This window comes from Homo sapiens, chromosome 10 (assembly GCF_000001405.40).
Source record: "Homo sapiens chromosome 10, GRCh38.p14 Primary Assembly".
Lineage (NCBI taxonomy): Eukaryota > Metazoa > Chordata > Mammalia > Primates > Hominidae > Homo > Homo sapiens.
In genome coordinates, this window is record NC_000010.11 from 116,090,056 (window position 1) to 116,110,424 (window position 20,369).

Consider the following 20,369-nt stretch of genomic DNA (forward strand, 5'->3'; position numbering starts at 1 on the left):
CATTTGCCCTATACATGCTGAGAGCCAGTCTTTGGGGTCAGTTGCTCAAAAATCAATTCAGTCATTACACCCTGAGCTGGACACTTAGCTATGCTCAGAATGCAACAAATATTTATTGTGTTCCTGTTTACGTGCCAGGTGCTGAGCAAGATCCTTGCCCTAAAATATCCATCAGTCAAGCCCTTTGAAACCCAGCATCAGTACTGTTACTTGGGATCATAACTGTCCCATTTTCCAAGAAAATTCTTGTGCTCTGTCAATATTCTATATTAAAAGGAAACTAATTAGTGCTTTTTAAAAAAAATCCTAATCATGAGACTGAGGCAATTCCGTGGCATTCACATTAATATGGCAGGCAAAATGGAACCAGTTTCTTTAAAAAAAAAAAAAAAAAAAAAACTACCCCAAATCTCATCAGTATCTAGTGAAAATTTAAGTAAGATTATTTTTTTTCTTTCTGCTCCAGTCTTCCAAGCAAAATCTGCATAATTAGGTAGGAGCAGCCCTGCTTAAATGAAAAGTTTAAAATGTAAAACTTCAAAAGCTTATTACAATTTCATAGGATTAGATTGTTTTTATGGCAAGATTAAATTGGTTGTGTGTTGTTCCCCTCCCCAAAATGAATAAAAAACAGTTTCTAATCAGGTCTTCGGGGATTTGGCCTGGATTTAGGGTTTTTTTTTATTTCATATTCATTGTATAAAAAACCAAACTCCTCCATTTGGGACCTGAATGTGCAAATTGTTAATATATGACTCTTAGTTGGCATTTTTCTATATACAAGACAGAATAATTTAAGCCTAATCTTCCTCTTAGAAGTGACATTTTGTTCTAAAATTGTTATCCTTTAAGTTCAGTAAATTGGAAGCTTGTTTTCTGCACCTTTACATTTTTGGGGGCTGTAAGAAACAGCTTCAAATTAATATAAATGCTTTTTATGCTCCCAGCTATGTTCCATGGCTTAACTGGTGAGTGTGAGGCAGAGAAAGAGGCACACAGGGACCAGTTCCCTTAAATGCCCAGAAGAACCACCACTGCTACCCTTGCTTTTGCTTAAAACATGTAGATTCAAGAGACTCACAGTTTCTTGCAACTACCTGTGCTTTTCCCAGTGTGTTTGCCTTGCCACATCAGCGGTTCAGTTGTTCACTTGCTCATTCATTCATTCATTCAAATGTTAATAGAATATCTACTAAGTGCCAGGCACTGAACTATGCATGGGGCACACAGTAGTGAACAACAACATCAACAAAAGATAAAAGTCCATGCCCTCATGGAGGTCACATTGTGGTTTTGCAGGCAAATAAGTGAAATATATAATACACTAGGCAGTGAGAAATGCTTGGAGAAAATTAAGCAAGGGAGCGCCAGAGGCATTGACTGGGGAGAGGGAGTTGGTACTTAGATAAACGGATCCAGGAAGGCCTCCTGGTGAAGGTGCCATCTGAATAAAGACCTGAGTGAAAGCCACTGATATCTAACCTCACCTCCATCCCATTTGTCTCTTCCCCATGCATCTGTCATGCACATGGCTTAAAAACAACTGTTTCCTCCCCCAAACTAGAAATAAACAATTGGCTAGAGTTGTGTTCATGAAAGGAGAATCTGGGAGAGGTTTGGCTTAATCTGAACGGAGCAGAATTAAGTTTCTACATTTGGGCTGGAATCTACAAATTGCAATTCCTTCTAGTTACAAGAGATTGAACTGATGGCCCTGTGTCTTTGGGGCTCTGTGCCCCATCTAGTCATAGTGGAAATGGAATGACTGTGAAAAATTCTGGCTGGCTTTGGCCCCTGATGCAGACAAAATGCATTTATTTTTATTGAAAAGTCATTAACAATGAGACACCAGACTATTCTCTCCTTCACCAAAAAGGTTATAAAGCAGGAACAACTTTAATTTCCCTGTGAGGGAGAAGTTTTCCAGCCAGCATGAGCAAAATCTTTTCTTGCACTGACCTCCATCGTCATTGCTTTATCTTCGTTAAAACTTGCATTCTGCCAGATGGATGTGAAAAAGAGGAAATATACATACATACGTACACACACACACACACACACACACACACACACACACACACACATTTTCAGTCGAGACCAAATAAGAGGTCCAAGTTGTGATTCCTTGGTATGCCCCAATGTCGTAGTGAAGGTCTCCTTACTTGACACTACTTTTGTGGGTGTGAATTTCACTTAAGAATCCAAAAGCTTGTTTTATTTTTAAGAGGCCCAAAGCAATTGACTACAGCCACATTATTTGAAGTGTCTGGTAAGCAAATGACTTCAATTTTTCCTATCAACAAAGTAAATGATGAGGAAGTTTTAGAGTAACACACAAAAGCTTTTGTGTGTGTGTGCGTGTGTGTGCGTGTGTATGCATAGTAAACTATTAGCTACCAACCAAGCATCATGGAGAAATTGGCACTTGAAGACAGGGCTCTCAGAGGGGTGGGTGGCTGAGCCTTGATTCCCAGAAACTTAGTGCACCCCTCCCACCAGGAAGTCAGACTGACATGGTTCCTGAAGTTCAGGCCTATGTTCTCATCCAACAGGCTCCTCAACATCGGGGTGAACAAAGCTCTTAGGACACAGGGGGCCGCAAAAGGATTCACACTTCAGATCCTAACTCTGGCATGCGAGGCTTATGTGAATTACCAGGCTTTACTCAGCTGTATGGCAGGATAAAACCACCTATGTCTATGAGGACTCTTGTGTAGATTACAGTAAATGAGAATGTATATTTTACACTCGCTATAGAGTGAGTTTGAACACACAGAAGATACCCAATAAATGGCGGCTGCCACAGAGTGGGTTGCAATTTTCAAGTATCTCAGCTGGATCGTCATCTAGGGTGTGCATATCTGGGTGGATATACGTGAGTCCTGGCACCGTGCTTTTGGAGTCTGATGAATGCCCATTGTTCACATCCGTCCATTTCTCTCTATCCCTGTCCCTTTGGGAAACGTGTTTCCAAACTGCCTTAAGGACACTGCAGTAAGAACGGATTCTGCTTTCAAGCAGGAGCCCCCTCCCTCCTCCCCAGTGCTTATCTCGCCTCCAGAGATAACGGGCATCCCGAGCCTCCTGCCTGCATCGCCAGTTTATCCCCCTCAAGAATTGTTGCTTCTCCTCTGAGCCAGCCCTGAGCATCCAAGGGGCTATTGATGTTAACATTCTAATTTTTCTCAGAGAGTCCTTGGAGGCCTATCCCCATCTAATTTGTCTGAGCTTCTCACATTGTATATTCCGCCCAGGTTTCAAGAACCTTTGGAACAGACTCTCCGCAGGCTGCCAAGATCAAAATTTGATCTGCGGGTAGAAGCGTTCTTTCCCACATAATGTACCCTTAGTTATTTGAATCTCTTGCTCTCTCAGGCCTTTGGATTCACAGTCTTAGCAGCACCCAGTTCATCACTTGCTGGGTTCCCTGCTGCATTACACGGGGTGGCCCACAAAAGGAGCTGGATTTACCATCAGTGACTAAGCAGAAAGGGAGAAAGACAGACAGAGAGAGGAAGCAGGCACAAGGTACAAGAGGTACAGGCACAAGGTACAAGAGGTACAGGCACAAGGTACAAGAGGTACAGCTGGAGCTCGGAGAAGAAAATGCGTTTGCTCCTTTGTTTCTTATTTTTTACAAACTCACTAAGACATGTATTGTCCTTGAAGAAATTCAAAAATTTCAAGCACTCTTCTAGGTCGTTCCCACTGTTGCTGCAGTCACACCATGGGGCCACACTGAGGCTACTGGAGTCTATGTAGTTGGGGGTCATGACTGTGCCTAAAAGAATAAAAACAAGGCATTTTATTGTTGTATGATGATACTTTTCCATGGCCTAAAAAGAAACCAATATTCCTCTGACGGCGGATGCACCGTGGATAATTACAGACATTGTATTTGCTGAGTGGGAAATTATGTTAAGCAGTGCATTTTCTCGGCAATTTATCTTGAGCACATAAAATAATTTACACATTTACTTTAAAAATTATAACAGAACTCCTTGAGCTGCACTTAGGGTATTCCTTCCTGCACAAATGGTATGGATGTCGTGGAGTAGGAAAGAATTAACTTAGAGAACGCATGAGTTGCCAAATCCCTTGCATTTTCTTGAAAATGTCATTAATCTTCATAAATAGATAGAGCCGGGTTTACATATCTTAAACAATTTTGTTTAGGACTTTGAATCCACTTCCCCCAGAAGCAAATGGTTTCTTTAGAGTGACATAGGGAAGCTAGAAGCTTCCTAGCGGTTAGCCTGCACCCTGAGTGTATATACATATATATGGGGTCTTCTCAACTGATCTAAATAAAGTCTTCCACGTAGTGAAAGAACTGGAAACAAACAGTGGAAATTCTCTAAGTCAACGGCTCCTAGAGTATTGCCTGTGGACTCTCAATGGTGCTCAAAGAAATGCTGGGTGGTCCTTCCTGCCTACATCTTGTCGTGATATTTCTGATGAGTTCTAAACTGGCACAAACACACAAATTATTTATACTTAATCCAAACCAAATGTCTTCTCCTGGGTGGCCGACACCAGGCAATGCCCGCTGATGACAAGAAGGCTTTTGTTTTTATATATTTTCTGGATGTAAGAAGTAATAGGTGGTCAGTAGTCCGCAGGGTGTATTTGGATCACAAACAGAAAAATAATTTTGTTCTAAACTTCTCTGAGTCAAGGGCATACTGTCTTTGCCCTATATTCTTTACTGACATGAACTAAATAACATCGCATTATACCTTGGGATGAACATTTTAACCTACTGCATAGAGGGAACTCCTAACTTTGGTTGAGAAAGGAACAGGCACCCTGAACACTAGGGGAGGAGGTTAAGGCCATTGGATATGCCTGGTGCCACGGTGGGCCCCTGGCATACATGGAAGAAGTAGGAATAAGCCTTGTCCAGAAAGAAGTTGGGGAGGAGATCCAGACCCAACAGAGAAAGACATTTTGGTCTCTGCAATGCATTGCCTCTGCCATTGGGCCCTCCATTCATCATCCTTAGGTGCGTAAGGGTTTAAGGTTTGCCAAGCCTAGGAAAAACTTCATGGAAATGCTGGCAGTACCTGGCCTTGGCCCCTCATAAAGAGGTTAAGGAGCAGGTACACCTGGGAAGGGCACTGACTGAAGTGTTAACAGGGACTACATCCATTGACTTAGAGGAGCTTGGAAAAAAACTGCTTTTCTGTTTGTGAACCAAATACTTGCTGTGGATTACTGACCACCTATTACATCTCACGTCCATAAGATGTAGACACTGTTAGCAGATGCAGCTAGAGTTGAGTTGGAGATACTCAACATTTTCTTCTGTGGGCTTCTCTGTATTTTTAAAACACTTTTTACAATGAGAATGCCTTGACTACTTTTGTTATTTCTGCAATTCCATAGTTGATACATCATCCCTAGCAGAGATTAACTTACTCGGGAAAAGGAGAGAGTGAATGCAAGTTTGGAGTATTGGCTTAAGGAAGGTACACTCATTGGCCCAATCAATAAAAATAGAAAATACTTGGGGATCTGGGGAAAGCTATTACCCACAGCAGGGCAGGTATCCTTCCAAAAAGTTGGGAGTAAAGAATGTACCAGGAACCTGTCCATCCCTGCATTAAGTACCATTATTGATTTTCCCAAAGCCGCCTGCTGAAGATGCTCTGGTGACAAAGAATGTAGTCTGTGCTGTCATTCTCCGGGAGAGGTTCTTCCTAGTGGTGACGTGTGTGACCCTGACACAGACAGCCGGCAGGAACACACACCCTGGCTGAGCCATCGTGCTTCTGACAACTGTGATTTTCCTCACCCTTCCACAGCTTTCACTGCATATTCCTTCCCAAATGCCAGTTGAGATGAGCCCTGCCACCAAGGCTTCTGCTGTCCCTGGTACCTGGGACACCTGCCTTTCCCCCTGACAGCCCCTGGTATCCAGGGGTCCAAGTTTGCTTCCCTTCTGACTCTCACGGCAGTCATGCGTAATCACACTGCTCAGAATGCTGAGAACATGGTTCTTCTAAAGCCTTGGGTCTTGAAAGACAGAAAATACGGTTACTGCTATGTCTGTTTTCAGGAAAAAAAATTTAGCCTAAATCACCCACTGCACACTGGGAGTTGAATTACCAAGAACATTAACAGCAAGCAGGGCCCCTGTATTTAGGGTTTTTATTTCCAAAGGGCCATTTCTGGGAAGCAGCCTTTTTGATTTCCCCAGCCTGAATGACTTCCCTTTCTCCAAAGTTCCCTAATTCAATTAACTTTGTTTGACTCGCTTTCTTCTTCCATAACCAAACATTTTTTCTCTCTGCTTTTGTTCTGCGTGGTCAGTTTCCCAACTGAGACGCCTTACCCGTCTGCGCACTTGCAGCCTCCCCACTCCTTAGTAATCCCCGCTTCCTGCCTCTGCCTTTCACGCATCCATTATCCCATTTTTTTCTTCTTTTTTTTTTCTTTTTTTTTACAGGCATGTCCTCAAGGATTTAACATCCAAACCCCAGCCCAGAGGTTACTGTGAGATTTTCACTTCTGCAGACATCAGCAAGGCGCAATGGAAAGAACGCAGGTATATGCAAACCACACTCTTCTCCCATCCTGCTTCTCTCGGATCTTACCAATAAGCCCCGAGTAGGCGAGGAGGCAGTCAGCGTAGTTTTCCTTTAGACAGCTGCTGACAGACCTTGACTCTGGCTGGCAGTTGGTAAAAAAATCCGCAAGGCGAGATCTACAATAGGAAAAAAGGGGTGGGGGGTGGAAATGTGCTTTAAAACATCCTAAGCCTCCGGACAGACATGTTTTCTTTATTCCTTTGTTGATATGCCTTTTTCTGCACACGCACACGCACACACACACACACACACATACACACAAAATACGTAGAAAACGTGAGCTAAGAAACTGTTGGCATCCTTTCTCATTCAACCCCCTCATGTCCCTTTCCCCAGCCCTCGCCCACCTGTGTGTCTCTGTTTATTCAGAGAGAAGTCTTCAGGGCCTATAACTGGAGGAATCTAGAGGCTTTGAAGTTTCCATTCAATATTTATTTCTGACTAGACTTATTTGCATCTTTAGGAAATATGCTTCTCCACACACTCACCGGAGATCCACACTGGGAAAATATTTACTTTATACAGAAACGTGTCCCTGGCATCAAAATAGGATCCTACAGCCCATCTGCTCCTGTAATTCCTACTGGCTTTAAGAATGTGTGTTTCTGTCTTGTAAGTCACCTCTCATCCACCAGCCCAGGGGTAGTGATTTATTCCAGCCGAGTGGCACTGGGGAGGAGCCTGCCTTTGGGGAACAGAAGGGGAAGCCAAGAGGGACAGAGAGGCTTGCTCTAGGCGGGTGGGCCTGTGGTCAAGGCTGTGCCTGGAGAGGCTGCTGCAAGATGAGACAGCTGCCTGCAGGTTGGAATCTCTCCAGGGGCCGGTGCAGTCCACCCAGAAGCCCTGGGTGGCAGTGAAGATGCAGCAGCCCAGAAGGGGACAGAAGCCGCAGACACGCTGGTCTGCGGAGAAGAGGGCCCTTTGTGGCCAACTGGCTGTTTTTCCATCTGAAGAGGATACTGTTGGAGAAATCCTGAATGAGAGCTGGGCCACCTCTGAGGTCATCTCGGCAGACAACTGCTCTGTTTCTATGGAAGAACACAATGGACTTCACAAGAATTTAAATTATCTGGCAATTATGGGAGACAATGGGAGGCTGTCTCAGTTCTCTTCTGTCTTTAGCTCACCCCAGAATTGGCTGTTGACATAACCAGAGCTGTTTTACTTCTTTCCACCTAAGAGACTGTATTTTCTTGGCACACTTTATGATATAAACGAGTTTGGTTTGGTGGAACCAAGACGGATAGGATGTGTGGGGATCACAAAGGTTTCTAAGGAAGCGCATTATGCATCCCTTTCCTGCAATTTTAACTAGAAAGGGCATTCAAAGACCTGATGGAATTATCCAAGACCGCAGTTCGCTGCAAAGGCATGTTTGTGTGGGGTTCTCTCCTTGAACCCTTGTAAACAAGGCTTGCCCAGGCTTCCCTATCTGATCCCATCTTGTGTGCTCTCTATGTTCTGGGGACCTGACTCCATTGCAGTGAATGCCCGGAGCAGATGCTGGAGATCTGCTTTATTTCCTTTGCACAGCACCTGACACTCCTCAGAGAGCTCCTGTATAAGTCTCCCCAGACAGGGCCATGTGCCGAAGCTAAGTGCTTTGGCAAAATCCTGCGAATGTGGCTGGGGTGTGCGCGTGTGTACGCACCTGAGTGGCAACCACGGTCCGTGCCTTGCTGGTGTTTCCTGACTTTAATTGAACACACTGAAAGATATAAAACCTGCCTATTTTCTGTAGCCTGGCTAAAGGATTCGTTTTTCAGAGGAAATCCCTAAAGATGGCTCGGGCTTACTCAACTGGCTCCAATGGCATCCAGCTTGGATTGAGTGTTAATTTCAAAAGAATTTTCCTGGTCATGAAAGTTAATGATCTAGTGACACTGGGTTTCTAACTTTGCAAAGGCCAACTGCAAGTTCAGGCAGCTGGGGCTCCGGTTCTGCACACAACCTGGCTGCTGAACAGCTCTCTGACCTGGCAGCCCAATGCTCCCGGCCTGTCCCCCAGAGACAAGACAAAAGGTCGCTCCCTCTCCACATCTCCTGTTTCTCACAGTCTCTCCAGCAGACTATTAACTGAACAACACTGTGATGAGGATTACTGTCCTTCAGCGAGAGACTAATGCCACCAGACTCATTTTGCTTAACAACCTCGGAATTGACTCACAATTGGACTCTGGAATGAAAGGCTAATTGAGTCAGTCTGCTGTAGAAAGCATAGCCCCGATTGGGAGGATAAAACAAAATATACTGCTCTGAGCAGAACTCTGGACAGGCTGCTTTTTGAGAGATCATCGGCACATATCCTGGCCCTATGACCCACAGCCAGTGGATGGGAAGAGAGTTTTGATGTAAGGGTGAGCACATGAGGCACTGTTAAAACACTAACATTTCCACGTTTTATCACATTTGACCACCTCCCCCTGGCAGCTATACTTGGAGACAGGATACTCACATTATAGGATTCACATGTTACGGATGGAAACACTGAAGTAAGAAGTTTATACAGCGCTATGCTGGGGCCAGCTCATCACTGGTGAGTTGGTACAATTTCAGGAATTTTGCAGGTTGGTTAATAACATTGCAGTGGTAGTTTGAAAGTGGCCATGGTGGAGGGATTTACACCACGGTAACCAGCAAACACTATAAATCAGGGCTTTGTGTTGTTCTTGGAGCACTGGTTGTTAAATATTTACTGGCACGTCTCTATTTAAGAACCAGTATGATGTTAGTAAATCCCACTGATAAAGCATGCATCATGTCTCCAGTTGAGTCCCAACCCTTCTGGGACAGGCTTCCTCTCCCATCCCCAGTCACCCTTGTGCCAAATGAAATGGGGCAATAGCAATTAACCTCTGGTCTTCAGTACTTTCCAAAGAAAGAAAAGAGCTCCACTCCCCCATCCCACTAAAACATCCTTCCTGCCCAACATCTCCTTCTCCTACCATCACAATCCTCTAACATCTCCTAAATTATGCATGCAAATGGTCACATGTATTGACACAACAGCTGGATTCCTGTCCATCCCACTGACTGATGTGTCAAGTGCCATGATATAATGATGAAAAAGACCCTGTCCTTGAACTTATATAACCCACAATCTAGGTGCCAAGAAAAACAAGTAAAAAGATTATTATAATACAGTGATTTGTTCTTGATAAAAGGTAAGAATGAATGGCCGCTAAAACAATACCTAGCATGAATGAAGTGTTCAGTACATGTTAGGTATATCTTTACAAACTTTTACTTTGTATGACAGCAAAATAATTGTTATTGTTATTTTATTATCCTAATTCTGTAGTCAAGGAAACCAAGGCTTAGTGAGGTTAGACTAGAATAAAAGAGTCAGTAGCAGAACGAGGATTTAAAGTCATACATTCTGACTCTACCACTTAAGGTTTTACTATTACACAGCTGCAGAAGCTGGTTTCCAAGAGGCTGTGATATTGGGACTGAGACTTAAAGGATGGGTAGAATTGGTTAGGTACAGGTAGAGCAGGGTATTCCAGACAGAAGGAAGCAGCAAAGTATAAAGTAATCACACTCACAGTAAGACCTGCATAACAACTACGAAGTATTTGTACATGCCAGGTACTGATTTAACGACTTAACATGTATTCATACATTGGATTCTCACAACAACCTTATTAGGTGATACTTCCAATCAAGCCCATTTTACAGATGAGGAAACCGAGGCACGGAGCCTTTAAGCAACTCCTTCTAGGTTGCAGAACTCTGTGATGGAGCTAGAACATGACCACATTCAATCTGATGCCAGAGCCGGAGATCATTCTCAACTGCTGCACTTAACAGGTGCATCGCCCAGAACATCACTGGTCACTCACTCAGGATGCCCAGGCCACAAGATCAAATGAGTAGTGATGGGAAAATATGCTGATGAGGTCTTGAAAGCCTTTGAATGATCCAAGGGTTTAGGTTTTTATCTTAAAAGCAGTGGAAGCCACTGAAGGATTTTAAACCCGAGAAGTAACATGATCAGATTTGCATATTAGGAAGACTCTTCGATCTCACCATTGTTCGGCAAAGATATGCTTCAGACCTACTGTGTGCCCTCACTGTTCCAGCAGCAATGGGAAGAGCAAGAAATTTGCCAGGAGGGGAAGGGGTGGTTCCCTAGGAGACCGTGGCCATGAACCAGAGCAAAGAACCGAGGGCCGGAAGAGGAGAAAGAAAGGAGGATGCCCGGAAATGTGGATATCAATAGAATGAAAGTCAAAACTTCGGACTGGAGGGGTGAGAACAGAATCGAGAGGAGGACAGCTCAGCAGACAGTGGGGCCCTGGTGGGAAAGATGGGGGAGGACAGGTTTACCAGGAAGATAATGAGGCTGGCGGTGGCTGTGTTGAGTTCCTGATGCTGTGGACAGCCAAGATGCTGACATGTTGTTAGAGCTCTGGCTGCTGCTTCTGTCCAGTCACCAACTGCAGCCTGAGCACCTACTGTATGCACAGCTCCAGTGCCCCAGGACAGCTCCTTCTGCACACACTTTCCCCTGCCCACCCTGGGTTATGAATCACACTGTAATCAATGTCAATGGCTTCCCTGCCTGGGCTGCTGGGATACAAACAAGAAAGCTTGAATGTCCAGTATGGGATTAACAAAGAAACTCCTCAACTGGATTTCTTCTGGAGACATGAAATCTCCATGACGACAGCAATGATGAGCTCTGATTGTTTTTCTCCGAGAAAATGAAAAGGAAATGAATAGGTACTAATGTAGAAATGTATCGCTCTCAGTAAGAGAAAATCTCCCACCCTTAAAGAAGAGGAAAAGGCAGACAAAATACCAAGATGGCCTTAGGAAATCTGCAGAAACCATGGTTTATGCAGAAAGCATCATATTAAAGGAAGTACGCTGCTAATTGGAAATAGAAAAATTATAATAATAATAATATCTAGGAGAATTGTCTCAAACAGCAGATGGTCTTCTGACAGTGGGGAGAAAATTATTTACCTACTTTCTCTGCAACAGTTTTAGGAAAGTAGTGTGATGGAAAACAGGTAAAAACATACCAGTAATGCCCAATTTAACCCATCCTGGATTACCATAATCCTTTAAATATTCTTCCAGAACAAATCCCATACTTGGACATAAGACACGTGGTTGGTGGAATTGAGCCTTGGACTGAGAATTGTAAGATGTTGAATGGGATCCAGGCTCCGACTCATGAACCAAAGTTCCTGAGTGCGTTGCTTCATGTTTAAGCTCCTAGCTTTCCCTTCCACCTCAGAAATACAGTCTATGGAATGCTCAAAGCAATCAATGTAGAGGGGTGGAAAACCCACTTGTTTTCATAGCATTATTATTCTTACCCATATTCCATCCTACTGTTATGATTTCAGTGTCAAGGGACTTGGTTTTCTTCGAGTCTTGAGAATAAGATTCTTCTAGTGGATCCCTTGTCTCACATACAAGACAGCTGAGGGCCAAAGAGATTAAGCCTTGCTCAGAGTCACATGGCAGGTGGCCACAGATGGCATTCACAGGAACAGGAACTGCCAACCGCCCATAATGGCTCTGAAGGGTAGAAGTGTGGGGGCTGACTTTAATTTCTCTGGGATTGTATTACAGTCATCAAGTGTATACCTGCTTTCCCCTGCCACCATTGACTACATTGTTCTTCCTAATGTTCCACAGGCCTTAGAGACATGACGGGTACTTTGAATGTATTGCAAGAGCACAGCAGGCGCCAGAGGATGCAGATGGGACAAGAGGGTAGTGAGTCTATCAGTGAATTAGGCCCCCCTTTATAAAGGAGTCTGTTGTACCCCACCAGGGACTGCACAGCACTGCAGGGCTTGACCACTGTATTAGTCCGTTTTTATGCTGCTGAAAAAGACATACCTGAGACTGGATAATCTATAAAGAAAAAGAGGTTTAATGCATTCACAGTTCCACATGGTGCGGAGGTCTCACAATCATGGCAGAAGGTGAAAGCCACATCTTACATGGTGGCAGGCAAGAGAAGAATGAGAACCAAGCAAAAGGGGTTTCCCCTTATGAAACCATCAGATCTCATGAGACTTATTCACTACCATGAGAAGAGTACGGGGGAAACTGCCCCCATGATTCAATTATCTCCCACTGGGTCCTTCCCACAACACATGGGAATTATGGAAGCTACAATTCAAGATGAGATTTGGGTGGGGACACAGCCAGACCATATCGACCACTCAGGAGAAACCCAGAACTTTGGGACAGGATCCCCTTATCAATCTACTTGTATAAGTCGCTGGAGTGTTTCTCTAAACCCAACGTGGACATTAGAGATTCAAAGTCTTGGCTTTCACTTCAAACCATTTAGTTTCTGAAAGCTTTCTCAGTGGGTCAGTTAGAGGAAAGAAAGTATGGTAGATAAGAAGATGCACAGGCTTGGGAGTGACACAATCTTGTGTCTAATCCCAGCTCCACTTTTCACGCAGCCTCTCACATCTTAGCAAATTATTCAACTTCTCCAAGTCTCAGTTTCCTTACCTGGAAAATGGCACCAGTGCTGTGGTGCCATACCAGTTGCTATGTACAGTCACTTTAAATGTCTGCTGTGAGACTTAAATGACAATTATATAAAGCTCCTCACCCAGAACCCAGAATACACCAGTTGCCCCCAAAATTTTTACTTCTATCCCTTCATATGTTCTCCCCAATTCCTGGTTCATTCTAATGTTCAGCCTTTGCTGGAAAAACACACAACAAGCTCAATAAAGAGAAACATACACTGTGTCTTAGTCTATCTTTGGTGGCCCTTATATTACATACTTTCAACATGCTACATCTATGTAACTAAAGGCATCAACTTTGACCAAAACAAATTTGAGAAGTCTGAAGTGAGGAATCTGTGGTGTTACTTAAAGCCTCTCTGTTACATGAACTCATAAAATAAAGGCACTTTAAGAAAAGCTACTTTTTCCCAGGGACTTAGAGCAAAGGGATATATTTTTAAAAGGACTAAATATCAGTAAGTTTGTTAAAACTGCTAATACCTTTTGCAGAATAAAAACAATTAGAAAAACATGCTGCTAATATTAGACCAGGAATGAAAAGGCTAAAACACTGGAAAGGTAATTGTCTGGTATAGTGACACAAAACAGATTTTTCCTCTTTCTGTTTTTAGAAAATTACCTTAGCCCCTATTCTCCCTCAGTCTGCTGTAACACACATCTGGAAAGCATCCTTCAGGAAACCAGGGCCTGTATTAAATACATTTTGCAGGGGGTGTTATTTTGTGTTGCTATTGCTGTCTGGGCTGTGCATCTGGCTTCCTGGAGCAAAGGCCTAGTATTTGCCTAGGAGTAGGCTACGGAGCTGCGGAGCTGGGGAGCTGAGGAGCTGAGCTGCGATTCTCTCCCCACCTAGGACTGAGTGTGGAGACGCAAAGGGTCTGGGGAGGTCCACATGCCCCAGGTGCAGATGCGCAAAGCTCTGTGCATCTTGCATTCATCAGCCCCTTAACACAGGTTCCCACTGGTAGTGGGATTATTAAAGCCTCGCCAACTGATGTGCGTATGGCAGTTTAGCAAGACAGCGGCCACATGTTGGTGAGAAACAATACCATAAGGTCTAAGCAGCCTTCAAGCCTTTCCTAATGCCTTTGTTTCCTGGGACAGAAAGGCCCCTGTGGCCAAGTACAGATCATTTCCTGCTCCCCTCAAATCCCTGCTCAGCCTCATCCTGATACATGGGGCTTCCCCGATCACTGTTGCTCCTCTGGCTCCTTGGCAGCTCTTGGCTGCGAGGGTTCTCCTTGTGGTTTGCCCAGCACATGGGCCATGGAGGCTGCTGTCACTGCACTCTGAGCCTGACTCACAGGGGCTCTGGCAAAGCTTCATGGGCTGAGAATGGAGTTCCGGCGATGCAGATGGAATCCCCCATTATTTCAGTCCCTGCGTCCTGCCTTGGGTATCTCTGCAGGTTGAGGGTTCAGCAAAAGCAGGCTGCAGGGCACAGAGGTGATGCTTCCTTAGCCTTTCTGATTGCATCAAACTGCAGTAGCCCCCCGAGGGAAGTCTAGGTTGGCATCTGATCAATTTTGGCATCCCTCCCGAAGCCACCTTGCATGAACATTGACAGCCATCAGTCAACATTGACAGAGCAGTTGACAGGGCTTGACAGGTACTCTCTACCTGGCAAATTTGAAAAGCAAGTCATGGTAGTTGGCAAGAAAATCCATTCCAACTTGCAAGGGGCTTTCAGCAGCCTTAGATCAGATGTCCCTGAACTGCCCTTTTGCCAGGAATCCACTGCCCTCCACCTATTTATCCCAATGCGCAAACTGATGGTCATGGTACAAGAAAACTCTAAGTAGTAATGGGAGCACAGAAAGATCTCCAACAACCCTGTGCTGCATCACGAAATCAAATAAAATTGTTTTATATTACCCATACTATGCTATGTCCATTCACACAGAAAACCTAGCTTTAGCTTTGGTAGTACTTGTTTTTAAGGGAAGAAATTGAAGAAGAAAAGAAATGGAAAGTTTTGTGGATGATGAAAGGATCATAAAGCTCTCAGATATTCAGTGGGATAACTGCAGGTGACAAATATGTTAAAACTCTTTAAGAGTAAACCTTATCCAATAAGTCTTTTATATTTCTGCAGGCAAACTTTAGAAATCAGTTTTGTGGCTTTTGGCCACAAGAAAAAATGGAAATCTAGATGTTCAATGAATCTTTCACCAGCAGAACCACACCTTAAAACTCTAGACCAACACAGTGTGAGCTTGCTTCATGGAGAATTCAGCAGCACCTCCACCTTCGGAAGTAAATGCCTGAAGTCGCCTGGTATTTATTCTGGAACGCTAAGAGGCTCCATGTCAACTGCTCAGGAATCCTGGGCAGCAAAGGTCATCCACCATGGCTTCATTTAATTATTTACGCACACCCTGTCTTCAGAAGGAATTTTGAAGTGCCTTCAGATGTAGCTGTGATGTGGCAGAATATAAAAATTAGTGAGAGAATTGGGGACCACAGAAAGGTAAGATAGAGGCAGTGGTTTAGCTAGTACAAAATGTACACATGCCCCTGGCTGGATGAAAACTACATATTTGGTTCAGAGATTTCCAGCAACCACTGGGAAGGGGGTTAAGATATTCATAACTAATTCCACAACTAGCTCATGATACCCCCAAATTAAAAACAAGATAGATGCTCAGAAGAAAAACTGCTTGCGGCAGGCAGAATGCCTACCTTTGGGTAGGCTCTCAAAGGCATCTGGACCTGAATTCCTAAAACCTGAGACCATTACAGTTCATGGCAAAATGGACTTTGCAGATATAATTATGGTCATGGATCTTGAGGTAGGGAGAGTATCCCGGATTTTCCCGGTAGGACCAATAGAATCACAGGAGTCTTTAAAAGTGGAATAGGGAGGCAAGTGAGGGTGTCATCGTGATGTCATGTGAGACTCCACCTGGCCCTTGCTGGTTCTGAAAATGGAGGAAGGGGCCATGAGCCTGCGTGGGGAAAGGCAAAGAAATGGATTCTCCTCTGCAGCCTCCAGAAAGAACTCAGCCCTGCTGACACCTTGATTTCAGCCCAGTGAGACCCGAGTCAGACTTCTGACCCTATAGATCAGTAAGAGAATAAATGTGTGTTGTTTGAAGTTTGTGGTAATTTGTTAACAGCACCAATAGAAAACTAAAAGACTACTAAAAAGCAGTAAACAGTAGGGGGTTTTCATACAGAACTTGAACATGTACTAGGACTTAAATTTCAGCTCAATCGCTTACTAGCCATGACATTCTGGGCAAGTATCTTAGCTTCTCTGAAGCCTAGTGATATAGTTCGGACGTGTGTCCCCACCCAAATCTCACGCTGAAACGTGATCCCCAGTGTTGGAGGTGGGGCCTGGTGGGAGGTGATTGGATCCTGGGGGCAGACTTCTCATGAATGGTTTAGCACCACCCTCTTGGGTAGCGAGTAGGTTCTTGTGAGATCTGATCTTTTACAAGTGTGTGGCACCTCCCTCCACTTTCTCTTGGTTCTGCTCCGATCATGTGACATGTCTGCATGAGGAATACTTTCGGACTCTCAAAGGAATTATCTCGTTCCTGTCTTCCATCTTTCACCACTTGATATAGTTTGGACATCCCCTCCAAATCTCATGTTGAGATGGAACTCCCAGTGTTGGAGGTGGGGCCTGGTGGGAGGTGTCTGGGACACAGGGACAGATCCCTCATGGCTTGGTGCTGTCCTTGTGATAGTGTTCTTGGGAGGTCAGTTATTTAAAAGTGTGTGGCACCTCTTCCTTCCTCCACTCTCTCTCTTGCTCTGGCTCTTGCCATGTGAGACACCGGCAATCGCTTTGCCTACTGCCATGATTATAAGGTTCCTGAGGCCTCTGCAGAAGCTGAGCAAATGCCAGCACCATGCTTCCTGTACAGCCTGTAGAACCATGAGCCAATTAAACCCCTTTTCTTTATAAATTACCCAGCCTCAGGTTATCTCTTTATAGCAATGCAAGAATGTCCTAACACACCTAATATACTCAGGCTGAATGATAATAAGTCCCTCAAAATGTTCCTGGTAGGGTTAAATATACCTGGCACCTTAGCACCTGTTGACATCTATTCCTGATTCCTAGAGGAACAGTACCTCATCACAGCTGGTGTCTTCTCTTCTTCTCTGGACCAGCCCAGGGGGTCCACACTGACCCTGAGACCTTATGAAATCCTAGGGAGAGATGACCATGCTGGATGAATTCCCTTAGAATTCATCAAATAACTTGGCATATGAAATGCTTTGTCCTAAGGACAATTGATCCCCTTTTTTAAGGTCTTCATGTGTTCAGGAAAGTCATGATGAATATCAGCTTTATTCCCACCATTAAGACCAAAGAGAAATTACTCCTGTGAGTCTTCAAACATCCTCAAGTTTTTATAGGCCAATGAAATCATACTCCCTTTTTTTTATAGACCAATGAAATCATACTCCCTAAACAGGTCTAAGCAATTCTACAGGCCACTACCTGTGGACCCTCTACTGGTCTGGCAATTGAAGCATCAAGCCTGTGTTCATTTAAGAAGGTGCTGTCTGTACCCTCAGAAGGAAGTGTTGAGGTAAGTATCACAGCATCTTGATGTTTATAGTCAGAGGAACTGAACTCTAATGAGCTTAGGAAAAAACACAGGTAAATTATTATAGAAATTATCCCTAATGCTACCTGGTCTTCCTCAGTCAAACTTTGCTTCTTTGGAGGTTCCCAGAATATGCAGAATTAAAATGGCATGGGTTCTCTTGACTTTAATAATTTGTGAAACCCCCTACTTTCTCCAGTCCCCAAACGACAAGAGCTAAATATCTCTGGGTGCATAAGCCCCAAGTTCCGTGCCTTGGAATATTAATTTACCTTCCACTCATTAAAGGAGCCTAGTTTCTGAGAGCCCTGGGAGGGGGTGGGGAAAGGGGGTGGTGAATGGATTTCTGAATGGCTAACAACCTACACTTGCACAAGTTCGCTTTAAACAGAAACACATGAAAATGAGATTCCCTATTAATCTTTAATAGGCTTGCAGACTTCCTAAGGAAAATTATATTCAATAGTAAATATACACTAGGTCATTTTTCTTTCAGGAAAGTTGTAGTAAGGTCAACAGAGACTTTGAGCTTAGCAAACAACTAGTTCCTAATATCTTCCTTCTTAGATAGGGCATTGAGAATATCACTATTGCTCAGGAGACAGGGAATTGTGGCATTAGACGTCAAATGAATAAATCACTCCATTGTCACCAGATGGCAATTTCCCCTTTTGGGGAAATTCCGTAACTCCTATTAGCAACCCATTCTCACACTCAGCATCCTCTTGTCAACAGCACCTCAGCCCCAACCCCATTTTCTACATTTTAACTAAAGCTCTTAGTGCTGCATTTAATGTTTCTCCTTTTTTTATTTCTTTAGGGCAAAGAAGCTGATTTCCAGGGTCCACATAAGCCATTTTCTAATAAACTGACCCCTCCACATCTCCTCCCAGCCGAGTGATCCCAAGGCTTATTTTAACCCATTCACGGTGATCTCAAAGCTCTCCCAGAGCCCTCCCACCAAGTCCCCTCACTGGCTCTGCGCCCCGAGCAGGGTGCCAGCTTCAGCCTTGCTGCCCACACCTCATCTCCGTCACTTTCTATTCTATATCTTCACGTTGCTGATGGTCTTGCCTACACCAGGCAGAGAAGGAGAGCACCTAGAATTATGCCTTGCACAGAGCAGGTATTCTTTAAATAACTGTTGAATAAATGAGTTAATGAATGAACGAATCTGACTGCCATAGAGTAAGGCTCCAATCACCTACAGCTCAACACTCATCACGGACACTTGGTGCTGAAGGTTCAGCAACATTAACAGGTGCAGAGGAGAAACAGCAGCAGCCCAACTCTAAATGCTCCAACTACATTCACATAGAACCTGTCACTGTGCCCAGTGCTTTCAAACCTGTGTCATTTTTGAGCAGTAACCGTACTAGCCAGGTTTGCCTTATTTTACAGTTGAGGACACGAGGTCCCAGAGAGGTCCACGACCAGCCCAAAGTCATGGAGCAGGCCAGAGTCAGAGCCAGGTTTTGGAAAGAAGCCGCAGCTTCTTGAGCTCATACGCACCCGCACAGCACTGAAAAAGAATTAATGTTCCCTCTTTTCATTTTAGTTCTTGGACTTTGGCTGCCATTTTAATGTGAAGTATGTGCTGCAGAAGCCCAAATCTGATTTAGGTGGATATGTGATCTTTACTAGGCCCAATAAAAGAATGACAGAATTAGTGGGCATTCTTTTTGGTTAATAGCGCTTGTAGCTTAAAAACATAAAAAAAATAATATCTGTTGTTACTGTTCAGTAGGGCTCAAATGCAGTCCTGCGACACAGCTAGGAGGGGAAATCATCTGGGCCTAGGCCTTGCCTCTCTGGGCACCCCTTCCCCGGGCTGTGTTCCCCCAGAGGGCACCCAGAAGTCAAGAAGTGAGGACACAAAAGTCTTCCCCATACACTGAGAAGTAGGGCTCCCCGGGCCCACGGGGAGAAACCCGCATCCCCAAGCAGCCTTCCTTCACCGCAGGGACCACTCCTGAGGCTGGAGACAGAGTGACCCAGTAGGGGCTGGCCTGGCCGGGACGACCATCATGGGGACCTGCCCTGGAAGAGCAGACATATGTGCAGAACCTTCCCAGAGCTGGTGGGCATGAGTGCCAATGTCAGGCCAAATCCCAACTGCCCTGCAGGGGTGTCTGGTCTCTCTGCATCTCAGTCTCCCCCTGTATAAAACACAGACACTTCCAGTATCTCCTCCACAGGCAGGGGTGAGGATTAGAGCCCATATCCCAGTGTCTGGCACAGAGTTCAGTGCTCAGTGAAGTGCTAGCTGTGAATATTGCTGTTACCACACTCAAGGTGCTCCCTGTGCCCGCTGCCTCTCTCCAACCACAGCCCTGAGAGGCAGGGATGCAGCAGGTGTCGCCTCCTTCCCAAGAGGGGTCAAGTGCAGAGGAATCAGGCAGACTTTGGAATCCTCAGCCTGGGAACCTGACCTGGCAGGGGGATGAGACTTCAGCTAAGTTCTGGATGCATCTGAGGTCAGTACCCTCTGCTGCCCATGATGACAAGGGATTTCACTGAGCATTAAACTCTGTGCCAGGCACTGGGCTATGGGCTTTAATCCTCACCACTGCCTGTGGAGGAGGTGCTGGTAGTGTCTGTGTTTTACATGCAGGGAGACTGAGATGCAGAGAGAAGAAACACGCCTGCAGGGCAGCTGGGGTTTAGTCTGACATCAGGGTTCC

General features: G+C 44.7%; 1 protein-coding gene across 12 annotated transcripts in view; it reads right to left on the reverse strand.

Moving 5' to 3' along the window:
* The window catches only part of GFRA1 (GDNF family receptor alpha 1), a 217,781-nt gene that overhangs the window by 33,131 nt on the left and 164,281 nt on the right, over positions 1 to 20,369 (reverse strand). For all 12 annotated transcript variants that reach the window (NM_001382557.2, NM_001382556.2, NM_001145453.4 and 9 more), the window contains 2 exons: positions 6,600 to 6,709; positions 3,647 to 3,781 (listed from right to left, as the gene is read on the reverse strand). In NM_001382557.2, the coding sequence (NP_001369486.1) occupies positions 3,647 to 3,781; positions 6,600 to 6,709 (245 nt within the window). The remainder of the gene's footprint in view (positions 1 to 3,646; positions 3,782 to 6,599; positions 6,710 to 20,369) is intronic.